Source organism: Homo sapiens, chromosome 16, assembly GCF_000001405.40.
Source record: "Homo sapiens chromosome 16, GRCh38.p14 Primary Assembly".
NCBI lineage: Eukaryota > Metazoa > Chordata > Mammalia > Primates > Hominidae > Homo > Homo sapiens.
In genome coordinates this window covers 47,093,469-47,111,239 of record NC_000016.10, presented here as the reverse complement: position 1 = coordinate 47,111,239, position 17,771 = coordinate 47,093,469, and the positions used below count along the sequence as shown (strand labels likewise).

At 38.8% G+C, this 17,771-nt stretch overlaps 1 protein-coding gene across 7 annotated transcripts in view; it reads left to right on the top strand.

The window, feature by feature from the left end:
* NETO2 (neuropilin and tolloid like 2) overlaps positions 1–17,771 on the top strand; it is a 66,243-nt gene that overhangs the window by 32,706 nt on the left and 15,766 nt on the right. For 5 of the 7 annotated variants that reach the window (XM_006721291.2, NM_001201477.2, XM_006721289.2 and 2 more), the window contains exon 7: positions 1,529–1,757. In XM_006721291.2, coding sequence (XP_006721354.1) covers positions 1,529–1,757 — 229 coding nt within the window. Of the gene's footprint in view, positions 1–1,528; positions 1,758–10,259; positions 10,293–17,771 lie in introns of all 7 variants that reach the window. The other 2 variants (XM_047434728.1, XM_006721292.2) reach the window with 1 other exon arrangement.

Genomic DNA, 17,771 nt, shown 5'->3' with positions numbered 1-17,771 from the left:
GTTTTACAAGCCTAGTCACTTTCTCATTGTCTGCCATGAGCAAGAATTATACTGGATGAAACTGAGCCAGTGACCTTCCATTGGAAGACATCACAGTCTAGTGGAAGAGGGAAGTCATTACAGCATTAGAGCTCGCTACCAGAGTGTGAGCGGAGGGTTTGGGTTATATAAGTGATGGAAAACTAATGAGAACTGTTGATATATTTAAGAAAACATATTGCTTCTTTGTTAAAATACACGCATGAAGACTTTGTAAAGTTTTGAACTGGAAATCCTATTTCATTACCAATTTTCCACCATTCTCACGGAAGTGGTGAACCAGTCATTTCAAATAAACCAAAATTATTTAGTCAAAATGTAATTCTTTAAGCTATATTTTGTAAGTTGTTCTCTCTTAGTTTTATGCCATCAAGGTATTTGGTGGGGTGGGGGGGGAATATATGACATGACATTTTTGTTTTATTAATCTCTTCGAATTAAAGGGTAGATGTGGCATACTGCTCCCTCAGAAATAATAGCTAGGAAGTGAATACTCATTAGATGTCTTGAATGGCAATTCAAAGGTAATCTTTATTCACTCACTCAAATTTTATTTTAATGATAGAGTCACATATGAGAAACTAGAGCCCAAACAGGGAACACTGTGTGAGTATGTAAAGCGCTTCATGGAATGAGAAGGACGCACATTTAGAGTCAGACCAACCTGGGTTTAATCCTTGCCACCGAATAACAGATTCATCTCTGCCCACAAAAAAACATGATACCTACTTCATTAGGCTCTTCTGGAGATTAATGCTTAAAATCTAAATTCACAATGTAAGAGAAATCGCCAAACAAGAATGGGTCAAGAGTGTTTAGGAAATAACTTAGAACCATTTAGCTATAAAATTTGAATGGGGGATGCTAATAGAGCTTCCTTTGATAGTACAGTTGACGTCTGCCTGTCTGAAAATGCAGGTATTGTTAAGAGGTGAAATAAAGCAACCATGTAGAACAGTAGGATATTGTGTAAATAAATAATAGGACATCCGGGAATAGGTATGGCTAAGAGTATAGATAAAAACATTTTTATATGTTACAGCTAAAGTAGGATGTGTATATCTTACAATTAAACACAGGTTTTTTTAATGTGCAGAAAGAGTGAAAAGAAACTCACCAATTAATCACATGCATTGTTGGAATAATAGAAATATGAGTGATTATTTTATTTTCTCCCCTGTCCAGTACCATGAGATTGCTTTTATAATGAGAAAAATGTGAGATAGTTATGCCTTGTGAGCAAAAAGTTTCTACTCTTTATAGACAAAACACAAAGTAAGTTCCTTAATGCTTGGTTCCATTATAAAGACAACCAAAGAAACAGATCATTAATCTTAGTTCCTCTCACTATTTAGGCATCAGCCATTTATCGATTATGGTTTTCTGTCAGCTGTCATTCGGTGTCCCATGTTGTCTGTGGAAAATAGAAATAGAAAAATTCAAATTAATATATCTTTTTAAAAGCAGTGTTTTTGTGTTAATATTACAGATTTATTTGAGGTTCCTAGATTATCAAATGGAGCACTCAAATGAATGCAAGAGAAACTTCGTTGCAGTCTATGATGGAAGCAGTTCTATTGAAAACCTGAAGGCCAAGTTTTGCAGCACTGTGGCCAATGATGTAATGCTTAAAACAGGAATTGGAGTGATTCGAATGTGGGCAGATGAAGGTAGTCGGCTTAGCAGGTTTCGAATGCTCTTTACTTCCTTTGTGGAGCGTAAGTAAATAATTCCTATAGTATTGAGATCTTTTACATATTTTTCACTCATTCACAGTACACTCAGCATTTACTTTTTTAAAATATTTATTTTAGGATGTTTTTTTTTGTTTTACTACAGCTCTTTTTAATGCAAGAATATTATTTAAATTTAAAATATTTTAAATTTTATTTAATTTTTAGAGGTGGGGTGTTGATTTGTTGCACAGGCTGGCCTTAAACTCCTGGGCTCAAGCGATCCTCTGCTTCAGCCTCCCAAGTAGCTGAGACTGCAGGCACACGGCACTATACCAGGCAGCATTTACTTTTGACAAAAATGTGCAAGTCACAAGGTAGGAGCAACTATATCTTGGTCCCTGTTCTCTTGGAATGGACTGGTATGGGTGAAAAAACCATGTTAACATATCAATTGGAACACTCATTATAAAGGTGTAAACAAATGGTAGAGATTGCAGACAGGGAAGACTTATACTTTCTCTCAAGATTTTCTAACTTAGTAGTAGTATTAATTTAGCTTGGTGAATAGTTATGAATCCATGAAACTATGGTCATCAAAGATTTAGATATGCCATAGATCTTTTTCTTTTTAAATAACTTTAAACTTACAGAACATTGTAAAAATGATAGATTCCCTATGTGCCGTTCACTCAGATTCCACTAATGCCAACATCTCTCAAAGCCAGAGTAAAACTGAAAATTAACACAGATACGATATTATTAACTAAGCTATAGACCGGTCCGGTATCTCTAGTTTTGCTATGAAGGTCCTTTTATGATCCAGTTTCCCACATTGCTTTTAGTTGTCAAGTATCCTTAGCCTTCTCCATCTGTGACAGTTACTCTGTCTGCATCTTTCCTTGGCACATTGTCAAGAGTACTAGCTAGCCAGTTTAGTAGAATGTCCATCAGTTTGGGTTTGTCTAATGTTTCTTAGGGATTCCATTGAGGCTGTGTATTTCTGTCAGGAATACCACAGAAACTATGTTGTGCCCTTCTAATTACATCATGTCAGTGAAGCAGGGGTACATGGTACCATTTTGTCTTATTGCTGGTGATGTTAACTTTGATCACTTCATTAAGGTGCTGTCTGCCAGTTTTCTTCACTAAAAAGTTGCTATTTTTTTCCTTTCTAATTAATAAGTCTCTTTGAGACTATGCCAATATCTTCTAACCCACTAATTTTAGCATCCATTGTTGGCTTCTGCCTGTAACAGTTACTACTGTAGCGTTTACCTAATCATGATTTTCCATTTCCATCATACCTTCTGTATACATTAATTAACATTCTGCTGTGAGAAAAACTATCCCTTTTTCCTCACTTATTCAGTTATTAATAATTACATCAGTATGGGCTCATGGATATTTTATTTTATTCTATTGTTATAATATTAATAATATTATTATTGTGACCGGGCATCGTGGCTCATGCCTGTAATCCCAGCACTTTGGGAGGCCGAGGCGGCAGATCACTTGAGGTCAGGAGTTCGAGACCAGCCTGGGCAACATGGGGAAACCCCCATCTCTACTAAAAATACAAAAATTAGCTGGGCATGGTGGCAGGTGCCTATAGTCCCAGCTACTCAGGAGGCTGAGGTGGGAAAATCACCTGAGCCCAGGAGGTCAAGGCTGCAGTGAGCTAAGATCACACCACTGCACTCCAGCCTGGGTGACCAGAGTGAGACTGTCTCAAAAAAAAATTATTGTTTTCTATGATACTAACACTATTTTGTTGCTCAAAGCCCGAGCTTCAGCCATTGGAAGCTCCTTCAGTTTGCCTCCTCTGTCCTCTCAACATACCGAATTAATAGTTTTTAAATTATTTTCTTACTTTACGGCAATGCTGGATGAACCAGGCTCAACTAGTGTTTTCCCTGACCCAACGCTGGACCAGCCGCATTTCCAAGGAGCCCTTTCTTCATCTTAAACAGCGAGAAACCTGACTAATTATCTGAAATGGATTAATTTGTTTAATCCTAATATACACAAAAAGTAACTTCACAATTGCTAATCCATATCCCTTTGAGAAATTTCCTAACAAAATACCTTACGTACAGTTCTTTCTATGTTTAACTTTACTGTCAAGATACTGTTTTCCAGTTACTCAGGCTAGTGGTTTATATTTCATTTTGTGCACCCCCCCAACATCATGGTGTCTGTACATTGTTTTTATGTGGGAGTTGTGGAAACATAATTGTTGTTCCTAGGAGCCCACATCCCAAGAGGGACACTTGGAGGTGTCCTTGCCTCCTTCATTCTCTGCCTTCCATTTCTTACCTCTATCTGGATTTCTTTTTGCACAAATGAGCAGATACATCTGTATTTTCTTATGTGCCATTTTTTCTTATGTGAAGGACAGCATTATTCTTTTACACTTTATGTTTTTAACTTAAAAGTATATCCTGGTCAGGTGCAGTGGCTCACACCTGTAATCCCAGCACTTTGGGAGGCCAAGGTCGGCGGATCACTTGAGGTCAGGAGTTTGAGACCAGCCTGGGCAATGTGGCAAAACCCCATCTCTACTAAAGATACAAAAATTAGTGGGGCATGGTAGCACGCGCCTATAATTCCATCTACTGGGCAGGGTGAGGCATGAAAATTGCTTGAAACTGGGAGGTGGAGGTTGCAGTGATCTGAGATCAGGCCACTGCACTCTCCAGCCTGTGTGACAGAGTGAGACCCTGTCTCAAAAAAAAAAAAAAATTATATCCTGGAAACCATTCCATATCAATTCATAGAGCACATTTTTATTTTATAGCTGCATAGTACAGCATTGTATACACCAACTTTATTTTATCTTCTACTTATGGTGGGCATATAGGTTATTCCCAATATTTGCAGTTATAAAGAAGCTACAGTGAATAATGTTATGCGTATGTCATTTTGTATTGTTAGAGACATATCTTCAGGATAAATTCCTAGAAGTGGGATTGTTTGGTTTAAAAAGTTGTGTAATTTCGTTAGATATTGCCAAAAACCCTTCCGGAAGGGTTGTAGCTTTTTTTTTCAACTGTGGCAAAATATACATGGCATAAAATTTACCCTCAGTCACTTTTAAATGTACAAATCAGTGGCATTAAGTACATGCACATTGTTGTGCAACCATCACCACTGTCTTTAGAGCATTTTTATCATCCCAAACTGAAACTCTATACCCATGAAACAGTTCCTTCCCATTTTTCTCTCTCCCTACCCTGGTAACCTCTATTCTTCTTTCTGTCTCTGTGAATTTCCATATTCTGGGTAACTCATAGTAGAATCATATAATATTTGTCCTTTTATGTCTGGCTTATTTCACTTAGCATAATGATTTCAAGGTTCATCCATGAAATCTTTCCATGGTTCATCCATGAAATCTTTCCATGGTTCATCCATGTGGTCATATGTATCAGAATTGTATTCTTTTTTAAGGCTAAATAATATTCCATAAGTAAATGCCACATTTTCTTTATACATTCATTCATCTGTTGATGGATGTTTGATTGTTTCTACCTTTGAGCTATGATGAGTACTGCTGCTGTGTAGAATTGCTGGATCATATGGGAAATCTGTGTTTAAGTTTTTGAGGAACCGGCAAACTTTTCCACAGTGGCTGCACCATTTTACACACCGACCAGCAGTGCACAGAGGGTTCCAGTTTCTCCACATGTTCACCAATACCTGTTATTTTTCATATTTTTGGATAATAGCCATCCTAATATGTGTAAAGTAACATCTCATTGTGGTTTTGATTTGCCTAATGATTAGTAATGTTGAGCATTCTTCCATGGGCTTCTTGGCTATTCATACATCTTCTTTGCAGAAAGGTCTCTTCACATCCTTTGCCCGCTTTTGAATTTTTTTTTAAGTTGTAGACGTTCTCTGTGTATTCTGGATATTAATCCCTTATTGTGTATGTGATTAGCAGACTTTTTTGCACTCTGTTTGTTGTCTTTTCACTCCCTTGATATAGTGTCCTTTTGGGTACAAAAGTTTTGAATTTTGATGAAGCCCAAATTAATGTGGGTTTTTTTTGTTGTTGTTTTTGGTGTGATATCCAAGAAATCATTGTCAAAACCAATGTCATGAAGCTTTTCTCATATGTTTGCTTCTGAGAGTTTTATAGTTTTAGCTCTTGTAATACATTTAAGTCTTTGATGTATTTGGAGTTAATTTTTGTATATAGTGTAAGTTAAGGCTCCAACTTCATTCTTTTTCATGTGGATATCCAGCTTTCCCAGGATCATTTTTTGAAAACACTGTCCTTTCCTATTGAATGGTCTTGGCACCCCTGTCAAAAATCAATTAGATCTGGGCACAGTGGCATACACCTGTAGTCCCAGCTATACAGGAGGCTGAGGCAGGAGGATTGCTTGAGTCCAGGAGTTTGAGACCAGCCTAGGCAGGAGTTCAAGACCAGCCTGGTCAACATAGCAAAACCCCATCTCTATTTTTCTTTAAAAAAGTAAAAAAAAGAAAAAAAAAAAGGCCAGGCACAGTGGCTCATGCCTGTTATCCGAGCACTTTGGGAGGCCAAGGTGGGTGGAACACCTGAGGTCAGGAGTTTGAGACCAGCCTGGCCAACATGACAAAACCCCATCTCTACTAAAAGTACAAAATTTAGCCAGGCGTGGTGGCACACGCCTGTAATCCTAGCTTCTCAGGAGGCTGAGGCAGGACAGTCACTTGAACCTGGGAGGCAGAGGTCACAGCGAGCCGAGATCGTGCCACTGCACTCCAGCCTGGGCAACAGAGCTAGACTCTGTCCAAAAAAAAAAGAAATTATGTGAAGATTTATTTCTGGCCTCTTAATTCCATTGGTCTATATGTCTGTTGTTATGCCAGTAGCAACTGTTTTGATAACTGTAGATTTGTAGTAAGTTTTGAAATCAGGAAGTATGAGTCCTCCAACTTTTTTCTTGTTTTTCAAAACTGGATTGGCTATTCATGGTTCATTGAGATTTCATGAACTTTAGGATGACTTTTTCTATTTCTGCAGAAACACTGTTGGGATTTTGATAGGGATCATTTTAAATCTGTGGGTCACTTTGAGTAATATTGTCATCTTAACTGTATGAAGTCTTCCCATTCATGAACACAGGATGTATATTCCCATTGATTTTTCATCTGTAATTCATTCAGCAATGTTTTGTAGTTTTCAGCATACAAATGTTTTGCCCCCTTAGTTAAATTTATTCCTAATATTTTATTCTTTTTAATGCTATTATACTGGAATTATTTTCTTAATTTCCTTTTCTAATTGTTAATTGGCAGTGTTTAGAAATGCAACGGATTTGTGTATGCGGGTTTTGCATCCTGCAACTTTGTTGACTTAGTTTATTAGCTCTAACGGGGGTGTGGGTGTGGGGGTGGGTGTGATCTTTAGGGTTTTCTGCATATAAGATTGTGTTGTCTGTGAACAGAGAAAACCTTTTATCTTCCTTTCCAATTTGGATACCTTTTATTTCCTTTTCTTGCCTAATTGCTCTAACCAGAACTTCCAGTATATATTCAATAGAAGTGAAATTGGGTATCTGTCTTATTCTTGATCTTAGTGGAGCTCTGTCCTTCACTACTGATTATGATGTTAGCTTTGGGTTTTTCATATATGGCCTTTGTCATGTGAAGGAAATTTTTTTTCTATTCATAGTTAATTGAATGTTCTTATGAAAGCCTGTTGAATTTTGTCAAATGCTTTTTTAAAAATTCATTGAGTTCATCATGTAGTTTTTTTCCCTTACTGTAAATGTGATGTATTAAATTGGTGGACTTTTGTATATTGAACCACTCATGCATTCTGGGAATAATTCCCACTTGTTCTTGGTGTATAATCATTTTATATGTTGCTGAATTCTGAAGTAATAATTTTCTTGAGGATTTTTATATTAATATTCATAAGGGATATTGGTCTTTAGGTTTTTTTGTGTATCTTTTTCTAGCTTTGGTATCAGAGTAATTCTGGCCTCATAGAATGAGTAACTAGTTCTGGCCTCATAGAATGAGTAAGTAGTGTTTGTTCTTCAACTTTTTCAAAGAGTTTGAGGATTAGTGTTAATTTTTTTTTATTATTACAATACTTGAAGTTCTGGGATACATGTGCAGAACATGCAGGTTTGTTACATAGGTATACACCTGCCATGCTGGTTTGCTGCATCCATCAACCCATCATCCACATTTCTCCTAATATTATCACTACCCTAGGCCCTCATCCCCCAACAGGCCCCGGTGTGTGACGTTCCTTCCCCTCCCTGTGCCCACGTGTTCTTATATTTCAGCTCCCACTTATGAGTGAGAACATGCAGTGTTTGGTTTTCTTTTCCTATGTTAGTTTGCTGAGAATGATGATTTCCAGCTTCATCCATGTCCGTGCAAAGGACATGAACTCATCCTTTTTTATGGCTGCATAGTATTCCATGGTATATATGTGCCACATTTTCTTTATCCAGTCTATCATTGATGAGCATTTGGGTTGGTTCCAAGTCTTTGCTATTATGAATAGTGCTACAATAAACATGTGTGTGCATGTGCCTTTATAGCAGCATGATTTGTAATCCTTTGGATATATATCCAGTAATGAGATTGCTGGGTCAAATGGTATTTCTGGTTCTAGATCCTTGAGGAGTCTCCATACTCTTCTACGATGGTTGAACTAATTTACACTCCCACCAACAGTATAAAAGAGCTCCTGTTTATCCACATCCTCTCCAGCATCTGTTGTTTTCTGACTTTTTAGTGATAGCCATTCTAACTGGTGTGAGATGGTAGCTCATTGTGGTTTTGATTTGCATTTCTCTAATGACCGTGATGATGAGCTTTTTTTCATGTCTTTCTTGGCTGCATAGATGTCTTCTTTTGAGAAGCATATGTTCATATCCTTCACCCACTTTTTGATGGGGTTGTTTTTTTTTTTTTTTCTTGTAAATTTGTTTAAGTTCCTTATAGATTCTGGATATTAGCCCTTTGTCAGATGGATAGATTGCAAAAATTTTCTCCGATTCTGTAGGTTGCCTGTTCACTGTGATAATAGTTTCTTTTGCTGTGCAGAAGCTCTTTAGTTTAGTTAGATCCATTTGTCAATTTTGGCTTTTGTTGCCATTGCTTTTGGTGTTTTAGTCATGAAGTCTTTGCCCATGCCTATCTCCTGAATGGTATTGCCTAGGTTTTCTTCTAGGGTTTTTATGGTTTTAGGTCTTATGTTTAAGGCTTTAGTCTATCTTGAGTTACTTTTTATATAAGGTCCAGTTTCTGGAAGGGGTCCAGTTTCAGTTTTCTGCATATGGCTAGCCAGATTTCCCAATACCATTTATTAAATAGGAAATCCTTTCCCCATTGCTTGTTTTCGTCAGATTTGTCAAAGATCAGATGGTTGTAGATATGTGACGTTGTTTCTGAGGCCTCTGTTCTGTTCCATTGGTCCATGTATCTGTTTTGATACCAGTACCTTGCTGTTTTGGTTACTGTGGCCTTGTAGTATAGTTTGAAAGTAAGGAAGCATGATGCCTCCAGCTTTGTTCTTTTTGCTTAGGATTGTCTTGGCTATACAGGCTCCTTTTTGGTTCCTACGAAATTTAAACTAGTTTTTTCTAATTCTGTGAAGAAAGTCAAATGGTAGCTTGATGGGGATAGCATTGAATCTATAAATTACTTTGGGCAGTATGGCCATTTTCACGATATTGATTCTTCCTATCCATGAGCATGGAATGTTTTTACATTTGTTTGTGTCCTCTCTTATTTCCTTGAGCAGTGGTTTGTAGTTCTCCTTGAAGTGGTCCTTCACATCCCTTGTAAGTAGTATTCCTAGGTATTTTATTCTCTTTGTAGCAGTTGTGAATGGGAGTTCACTCATGATTTGGCTCTCTGTCTATTATTGGTGTATAGGAATCCTTGTGATTTTTGCACATTGATTTTGTATCCTGAGACTTTGCTGAAGTTGCTTATCAGCTTTAAGGAGATTTTGGGCTGAGACGATGGGGTTTTCTAAATATACAATCATGTCATCTGCAAACAGAGACAATTTAACTTCCGGTCTTCCTGTTTGAATACACTTTATTTCTTTATCTTGCCTAATTGCCCTGGCCAGAACCTCCAATACTATGTTGAATAGGAGTGGTAAGAGAGGGCATCCTTGTCTTGTGCCAGTTTTCAAAGGGAATGCTTCCAGCTTTTGCCCATTCAGTATGATATTGGCTGTGGGTTTGTCATAAATCCCTCTAATTATTTGGAGATACGTTCCATCAATACCTGGTTTATTGAGAGTTTTTAGCATGAAGGGGTGTTGAATTTTATAGAAGGCCTTTTCTGCGTCTATTGAGATAATAATGTGGTTTTTCTCATTGGGTCTGTTTATGTGATTTGCTTATGTTGAGCCAGCCTTGCATCCGAGGGATGAAGCTGACTTGATTGTGGTAAATATGCTTTTTGATGTGCTGCTGGATTTAGTTTGCCAGTATTTTATTGAGGATCTTCACATCGATGTTCATCAGGGATATTGGCCTGAAATTTTCTTTTTTGTTGTGTCTCTGCCAGGTTTTGTTACCAGGATGATGCTGGCCACATAAAGTGAGTTATGGAGAAGTCCCTCTTTTCTGTTGTTTGGAATACTTTCAGAACGAATGGTACCAGCTCCACTTTGTACCTCTGGTAGAATTTGGGTGTGAATCCATCTGGTCCTGGGCTTTTTTTGGTTGGTAGGCTATTAATTACTGCCTCAATTTCAGAACTTGTTATCGGTCTACTCAGGGATTCAACTTCTTCCTGGTTTAGTCTTGGGAGGGTGTATGTGTCCAGGAATTTATCCATTTCTTCTATATTTTCTAGTTTATTTGCGTAGAGGTGTTTATAGTATTCTCTGATGGTAATTTCTATTTCTGTGGGATCAGTGATTATATCTCCTTTATCATTTTTTATTGTGTCTATTTGATTCTTCTCTCTTTTCTTCTTTATTAGTCTGACTAGCGGTCTATCTATTTTGTTAATCTTTTCAAAAAACCAGCTCCTGGACTCATTGCTTTTGTTTTTTTTTGTGTCTCTGTCTCCTTCAGTTCTGCTCTGATCTTAGTTATTTTGTCTTCTGCTAACTTTTGAATTTGTTTGCTCTTGCTTCTCTAGTTCTTTTAATTGTGATGTTAGGGTGTCGATTTTAGATCTTTCCCACCTTCTCCTGTGGGCATTTAGTGCTGTAAATTTCCCTCTAAACACTGCTTTAGCTGTGTCCCAGAGATTCTGGTACGTTGTATCTGTTCTCATTGGTTTCAAAGAACTTATTTATTTCTGCCTTAATTTTGTTATTTACCCCATAGTCATTCAGGAGCAGGTTGTTCAGTTTCCATGTAGTTGTGTGGTTTTGAGTGAGTTTCTTAATCCTGAGTTCTAATTTGATTGCACTGTTGTCTGAGAGACTGTTTGTTATGATTTCTGTTCTTTTGCATTTGCTAAGGAGTGTTTTACCTCCAATTATGTGGTCAATTTTAGAATAAGTGTTATGTGGTGCTGAGAAGAATGTACATTCTGTTGATTTGGGTTGAAGAGTTCTATAGATGTCTATTAGGTCTGCTTGGTACAGAGCTGAGTTCAAGTCCTGAATATCCTTGTTAATTTTCCGTCTCGTTATCTGTCTAATATTGACAATGAGTTGTTAAAGTCTTTCACTATTATTGTGTGGGAGTCTTAAGTCTCTTTGTAGGTCTCTAAGAACTTGCTTTATGAATCTGGGTGCTCCTGTATTGGGTGCATATATATATTTAGGATAGTTAGCTCTTGTTGCGTTGATCCCTTTACCATTATGTAATGCCCTTCTTTGTCTTTTTTGATCATTGTTAGTTTAAAGTCTGTTTTATCAGAGACTAGAGTGCAACCTCTGCTTTTTTTTTTCTTGCCATTTGCTTGGTAAATATTCCTCCATCTGTTTATTTTGAGCCTATGTATGTCTTTGCACATGAGATGGATCTCCTAAATACAGCACACTGATGGGTCTTGACTCTATCCAATTTGCCAGTCTGCGTCTTTTAATTGGGGGCATTTAGCCCATTTACATCTAAGGTTAATATTGTTATGTGCGAATTTGATCCTGTCATTATGATGGTAGCTGGTTATTTTGCCCATTAGTTGTTGCAGTTTCTTCATAGTGTCAATGGTCTTTAAAATTTGGTATGTTTTTGCAGTGGCTGGTACCAGTTTTTCCTTTCCATATTTAGTGCTTCCTTCAGGAGCTCTTGTAAGGCAGGCCTGGTGGTGACAGAGTCTCTTAGCATTTGCTTGTCTGTAAAGGATTTTATTTCTCCTTCACTTACGAAGCTTAGTTTGGCTGGATATGAAATTCTGGGTTGAAAATTCTTTTAAGAATGTTGAGGCTGGGCGCAGTGGCTCACACACCTGTAATCCCAGCACTTTGGGAGGCCAAGGCAGGTGGATCACGAGGTCAGGAGTTCAAGACCAGCCTGGCCAAGATGTTGAAATCCCATCTCTACTAAAAATACAAAAATTACCCAGGTGTGGTGGTGGGCGCCTGTAATCCCAGCTACTCGTGAGGCTGAGAGAATTGCTTGAACCCATTGAACCCAGGAGGCAGAGGTTGCAGTGAGCCTAGATTGTGACAGAGCGAGACTCCGTCACATACACAAAAAAAAAGAATGTTGCATATTGGCCCCCACTCTCTTGTGGCTTGTAGGGTTTCTGCAGAGAGATCGCTGTTAGTCTGATGGGCTTCCCTTTGTGGGTAACCCGACCTTTCTCTCTGGCTGCCCTTAACATTTTTTCCTTCATTTCAACCTTGGTGAATCTGACGATTATGTGTCTTGGGGTTGCTCTTCTCAAGGAGTATCTTTGTGGTGGTCTCTGTATTTCCTGAATTTGAATGTTGGCCTGTCTTGCTAGGTTGGGGAAGTTCTCTTGGATAATATCCTGAAGAGTGTTTTCCACCTTGGTTCCATTCTCCCTGTCACTTTCAGGTACACCAGTCAAACGTAGGTTTGGTCTTTTCACGTAGTCCCATATTTCTTAGAGACTTTGTTCGTTCCTTTTAATTCTTTTTTCTCTAATTTTGTCTTCCCGCTTTATTTCATTAAACTGATCTTCAATCTCTGATATCCTTTCTTCCACTTGATCCATTCAGCTGTTGATACTTACATATGCTTCACGAAGTTCTCATGCTGTGTTTTTCAGCTCCATCAGGTCATTTATGTTCTTCTCTAAACTGGTTGTTCTAGTTAGCAATTCCTCTAACCTTTTTTCAAGGTTCTTAGCTTCCTTGCATTGGGTTAGAACATGCTCCTTTAGCTCGGAGAAGTTTGTTATTACCCACATTCTGAAGCCTACTTCTGTCAATTCATCAAATTCATTCTCCATCCAGTTTTGTTCCCTTGCTGGCAAGGGGTTGTGATCCTTTGGAGGAGAAGAGGAGTTCTGGTTTTTGGAATTTTCAGGCTTTTTGCAGTGTTTTTTCCTTATCTTCATGGATTTATCTACCTTTGGTCTTTGATGTTGGTGACCTTTGGATGTGGTTTATGTGTGGACGCCCATTTTATTGATGTTGATGCTATTCCTTTCTGTTTGTTAGTTTTCCTTCTAACAGTCAGGCCCCTCTGCGGCAGATCTGCTGGAGTTTGCTGGAGGTCCACTCCAGACCCTGTTTGCCTGTGTATCACTAGTGGAGGCTACAGAATAGCAAAGATTGCTACCTTTTCCTTTCTCTGGAAGCTTCGTCCCAGAAGGGCACCCACCAGATGCCAGCTGGAGCTCTCCTGTGTGAGGTGTCTGTCGACCCCTTCTGTGAGGTATCTCCCAGTCAGGAGGCATGGGGATCAGGGACCCACTTGAGGAGGCAGTATGTCCCTTAGGAGAGCTCGAGTGCTGTGCTGGGAGGTCTGCTGCTCTCTTCAGAGCCGGCAGGCAGGAACGTTTAAGTCTGCTGAAGCTGCACCCACAGCGGCCCCTTCCCCCAGGTGCTCTGTCCCACGGAGATGGGAGTTTTATCTATAAGCCCCTGACTGGGACTGCTGCCTTTCTTTCAGAGATGCCCTGCCCAGAGAGGAGGAATCTAGAGAGGCAGTCTGGCTACAGCAGCTTTGCTGAGCTGCGGTGGGCTCTGCCCAGTTCAGACTTCCCTGTGGCTTTGTTTACACTGTGAGGGGAAAACCACCTACTCAAGCCTCAGTCATGGCAGATGCCCCTCCCCCTACCAAGCTCAAGCGTCCCAGGTCAACTTCAGACTGCTGTGCTGGCAGTGAGAATTTCTAGCCAGTGCATCTTCGTCTGAAGGGCCCCGTGGGGGTGGGATCTGCTGAACTACACCACTTGGCTCCCTGGTTTCAGCCCCCTTTCCAGGGGAATGAACAGTTCTGTCTCGCTGGCGTTCCAGGCACCACTAGGGTATGAAAAAAAACTTCTGCAGGTAGCTCGGTGTCTGCCCAAATGGCCGCCAGTTTTATGCTTGAAACCCAGGTCCCTGGTGGTGTAGGCACCCGAGGGAATCTCCTGGTCTGCGGGTTGTGAAGACCATGGGAAAAGTGTAGTATCTGGGCCAGAATGCGCCGTTCCCTCATGGCTTCCCTTGGCTAGGGGAGGGAGTTCCCCGACCCCTTGAGCTTCCCAAGTGAGGTGACCCTCCACCCTGCTCCTACTCGTCCTCCGTGGGCTGTACCCACTGTCTAACCAGTCCCAGTGAAATGAGCTGGGTACCTCAGTTAGAAATGCAGAAATCACCTGCCTTCTGCCTTGATCTCATGGGGAGCTGCAGACTGGAACTGTTCCTATTCGGCCATCTTGCCCAGGAATCAACTGATTGGTGTTAATTCTTTACATGTTTAGTAGAATTCACCAGTGAAGCCATGTGATCCAGAGCCTTTCTTTGTTGAGAAGTTCTGGATTCTTTTTTTAATCTCCTTGCTAGTTTTAGGCCTATTCAGATTTTCTTTGGCTTCATTATGCAGTTTTGATTGTGTGTTTCTAGGAATTCATCCATTTCCTCTAGGTTGTCAGTTTGTTGGCATACAGTTGTTCTTAGTATTCACTTATGATTCTTTTTATATACGTCAGATCTGTAGTAATGTCTCCAGTTGCATTTCTGATTTTAATAATTTGAGTCTTTTTGTTCTTAATAATTCTAGCCACAGGTTTGTCAGTCTTGTTGATCTGTCCAAAGAATCAAGTTTTGGGTTTTTGCTCTTTTTCTGTTTTCTATTTTATTTATTGTCACTCAAATCTTTATTATTTTGTTACTTCTGCTAGCTTTGGATTTAGTTTGTCTTCTTTCTCTAGTTCCTTAAGGTATAAAGTTAAACTATTGATCTAAGTTGTTTCTTCTTTTTTAATGTAGGCATTTACAGGTGTAAATTTCCCTTTTACTACTGCTTTTAGTACTCTGCATAAGTTTTGGCATGTTTTGGGTTTCATTTGTCTCAAGGTATCTTATAATTTCCCGTGGATTTCTTTTTTGAAATCACAGCTTTAAAAGTTGTGTAAGAGTGTGTAGTTTAATTTACACAGACTTGTGAATTTTTTCATTTTCCTTCAGTTGTTGATATCTAGTTTCATTCCATTTTGATTTGAAAATAAATTTTATATTTCAGTCATTTAAAATATATTAAGACTTGTTTTGTGGCTGAACATACGTAGTCTATTCTAGAGACTGTCTGATGTGTAATTGAGAAAAATTACATTTTTCTGTTATTGGGTGGAATTTTCTGTATATGTTAGGTCCATTTGGTCTATAGTGGTGTTCAGGTCCTTTATTTTCTTATTGATGTTCTGCCTGGTCATTCTATCCTTTATTGAAAGTGCAATGTTGAAGTCTCCAATTACTATTGTACAAGTGTCTACTTCTCCCATCAGTTCTATCAATGTTTGTTTCATATATTTTAGGGCTCCTTTGTTTTTAGTCCATATATGTTTATAATCGTTATATCTTCTGGGTGAATTGACCCTTTTATCAATATACCGTGTCCTTTTTTATCCAAGACTAGTCTTGCCACCCCCTAGCTGTCTTTTAGCAACTATTTGCATGGAATATCTTTGTCCATCCTTTTACTTTCAACTTTTTTATATCTTTAAAGTGAGTGTCCTACAGGCAGCATATAATTGGATCTTGTTTTTTCCCATCAATTCTGCAATCTCTTCTTTTGATTGGAGAGTTTATTTATGTTTAATTGCTGATGAGGAAGGTTCTGTCACTTTGCTACTTGTTTTCTGTGTGTCTATAGCTTTGTTGTCTCTCATTTCCTCCATTACTGCCTTCTTTTCTTTAATTGATTTTTTTTTGTAGTGACAAGTTTTGATTCCCTTCGCATTTCCTTTTGTGTATATTTTATAGATATGTTCTTATGGTTACTATGGAGATTGTGTTTTTATGAACTGCTTAAGTTTTTAAAAGTTATCTTCACTATTTGGTAAGCATGTGGGAAGTTTTTCTTATTAAAGGTTGTAGCTCATACACAGACAACCACCACAACTTAAAAGTGGAGAAATTTTGAAGACAGATTTTAGGATTCTTCTTTGGGTTCCTAGGCCAGGCACAGCGGCTCATACATGTAATTCCAGCTTTTGTGAGGCCGAGGCGGGTGGATCGCTTGAGCTCAGGAGTTTGAGACCAGCCTGCCTAGCCAACATGGTGAAACCCCATCTCTACTAACAATACAAAAATTAGCTGGGCGTGGTGGTATGCACCACTCAGGAGACTGAGATGGGAGGATCACTTGAACCCAGGAGGCAGAGGTTGGAGTGAGCTAAGATTGCACCACTGCACTCCAGCCTGGGTGACAGAGCAAGACCCCGTCTCAAAAAATAAATGGCCAGGCGCGGTGGCTCATGCCTGTAATCCCAGCACTTTGGGAGGCCAAGGCGGGCAGATCATGAGGTCAACAAGATTGAGACCATCCTGGCTAACACGGTGAAACCCTGTCTCTACTAAAGATACAAAAAATTAGCCGGGCATGGTGGCGGGCGCCTGTAGTCCCAGCTACTCGATAGGCTGGGGCAGGAGAATGGCGTGAACCCGGGAGGCGGAGCTTGCAGTGAGCCAACATTGCACCACTGCACTCCAGCCTGGGTGACAGAGTAAGACTCCGTCTCTAAATAAATAAATAAATAAATAAATAAGTAAATAAATAAAACAAACCTTCCTTTAGGTTCCTGAAAAATCAAGTGAATACATTCCCACCAGGAAAAACTGTTTCTGTTATATTTCTTTGCTTTTCTATCTCCTTAAACTCCTCAGCCAATTAGCTAAGGATTAAAAAAAAAAAAAAAAAATCCAAGTGATATATCAGTACTTCCTAATTTTTTTTTATTTTGCTTATCATAAGTGCAGATCATATTACCAGTAGCTTTGGCAAAATCTGCTTTCCAAAATACCATCATTTTTTTACTTGAATTTGAATGGCCCTTAACTTTAATCTACATTTGGGCAGGGCTGGTTAGCCTCTTCCAACTGTTTCCTCAGATTCATCTCCTGTATGAAGAATAATACCATTTTAAGACACATCTGAACTGCCCAGATATAGTTGAGTTTGTATGTTCACATCACATATATTTTAAAATTATAAGTGGTATATCTTATCTATTGTCATGAAAAGAAACAAATATTTTAGCCTTTATATCCTGACTGATGAGTATGGTGTAATGGTAAGCTGTATGATTTGTGCAAATACAGAGTTTGTAAATACAAAAGTGTGACAGTAAGATATCAGATATTTTTGACAAATTTGAAAATTAATAGTTTTTCTCAATCTTATAATTTCAAGGCATTGTATTATTCCATGGATTCTGTATTAAAATCATGACTGTTTATGACCATATACAGGCTTTCTTATAGCTGAACTCTTCTATCTAGAATTTTAAAGGTCTTCATGAGATGCCAAATGGTCAATTGGGTTATGAAGCCAATTTGGTCAACCAGCCTTCCTACCTGCTTTCCATGCATTTCTTTGGCATTTGTCATGTGAGGTACTGTGTTTGATGCTAGGAAGATACAAACATGCATGGAACAGTACCTGCCCTAAAGGGTTTTCCAGTCAGTTAGGTAAGGTGACCTAGGCAAATAGTGAC